General features: G+C 34.4%; 1 annotated feature.

Annotated features, from left to right (window-relative positions):
• Positions 717–886: an enhancer, noted in NCBI's record as "experimental_38246 CRE fragment used in MPRA reporter constructs". NCBI's record gives its function as "activates a minimal promoter by MPRAs in K562 erythroleukemia cells, with activity observed for both the introgressed and non-introgressed 14:86332697 variant alleles {active_cell/tissue: K562}" and the evidence as "EXISTENCE:reporter gene assay evidence [ECO:0000049][PMID:34662402]".

Below are 1388 nucleotides of genomic sequence, written 5' to 3'. Positions count from 1 at the left end.
CAGCTTGTATGAAGAGTTTGATGTGTTATCTTTAGGCCTTTCAGACATTTCATAATCAGATGCTCTTCTAATACTGAACACCCTCCCTTGGCTATCTCCTCATCTGTCCTATGAAACCTGGTTCTCTAAATGCTTCTGTTATCCAACTCTCTTTATATAAACTTCTGTTGTTAATTATTAGAGCAAATATTAAAAACTATTATAGATATTCGTGATCCTGTCATTAGGCAAATCTTTGGCCAGCCTCCCTCATCATGATTTCTTTCACATTTCAACAAAGATTAATTTTGCCTCTGTTACACCAGCTCATTTAAGGTCTATTTCTTGAATCAATATCAATCGTGTAAACGTGGTGTGGTCCTGTGGGATTCAAATGAGTCCAAATGATAATTGAGCTGCTCTATTCCCAGAATTTGGCACCCACGGTTTTGTCTTTCTTCATCAGAGCAGAGACATAAGCAAAATCAGTGATAAAGAGCCATGACTATTCATACAGGCAGTTATAGGCCAATAGTGGTAAAGTAATACTCTATTTTCACAAGCGTTTTCCAATAACTACATGCTGGCTTATCAAGTTAGGTAATAATTGCTGGTAACAGGAAACATGCTTGTACTCAAACCTTTATTAAATAAGAATCTGTTTTTCCTTCTCCTTTTATACTTAAACAAATTATAATATTTTATCTACTTAAACATTTCTTTTGTTCCAGGCTCTCTTATAGAGATACCTGATCATTTATTAATAAACACACAAAAGCAATTTCTTCTTTATACTGAAACTACCTGGAAAATATTTCACATTAAAAAGAGAAATTATTCTTGTTGATAAGAAAACATATCCCCAAAAATCATTTTGTGCATGTAGCTTATTGAATCGTTACCCTATGGCAATTTTCTTTTAATCATATAATCCATGTCTTTGTGCAAATGAAAAAAAGGAATATAAAAACTATTGCTTTATGTTGCTTTAGTAAATATCTCTGTTCCCTCAAGATCAGCAGCGACAGTCACTTAGTGAAGTTACAGTGGTGACAGGAATTGTTAAGTTGTCCTATAACAAAATAATGTGAACATATTTCTAGAAACTAGCATTTTTCCACAATCTGTATTTGCTGAAGTTGTAACATTTAATGGGCTATTGCCCAAGCTTTTGCAGTGAGGTTCTAATTAACTCACATTCCCCCAGTGATTCTGTTATTACAGATAGAAGTAATATTTCATGCAGTAATATCCAACTCTGTAGCCAGAGGTTGAGAAATCTAGACTATGCATCAAAATTTTAGTTCAATAATCATGTGCCATTAAGTTGCTAAGGCAGGTGATGAAAAGGCATCAGATTCTCTGCGTGGTCAGCTACTAACATGTGCTCGTGCACGGTATTTCTTCTC

The sequence above is a fragment of the Homo sapiens genome, chromosome 14, assembly GCF_000001405.40.
Source record: "Homo sapiens chromosome 14, GRCh38.p14 Primary Assembly".
NCBI classification, from domain to species: domain Eukaryota; kingdom Metazoa; phylum Chordata; class Mammalia; order Primates; family Hominidae; genus Homo; species Homo sapiens.
This window is presented reverse-complemented; position numbering and strand designations above follow the sequence as displayed.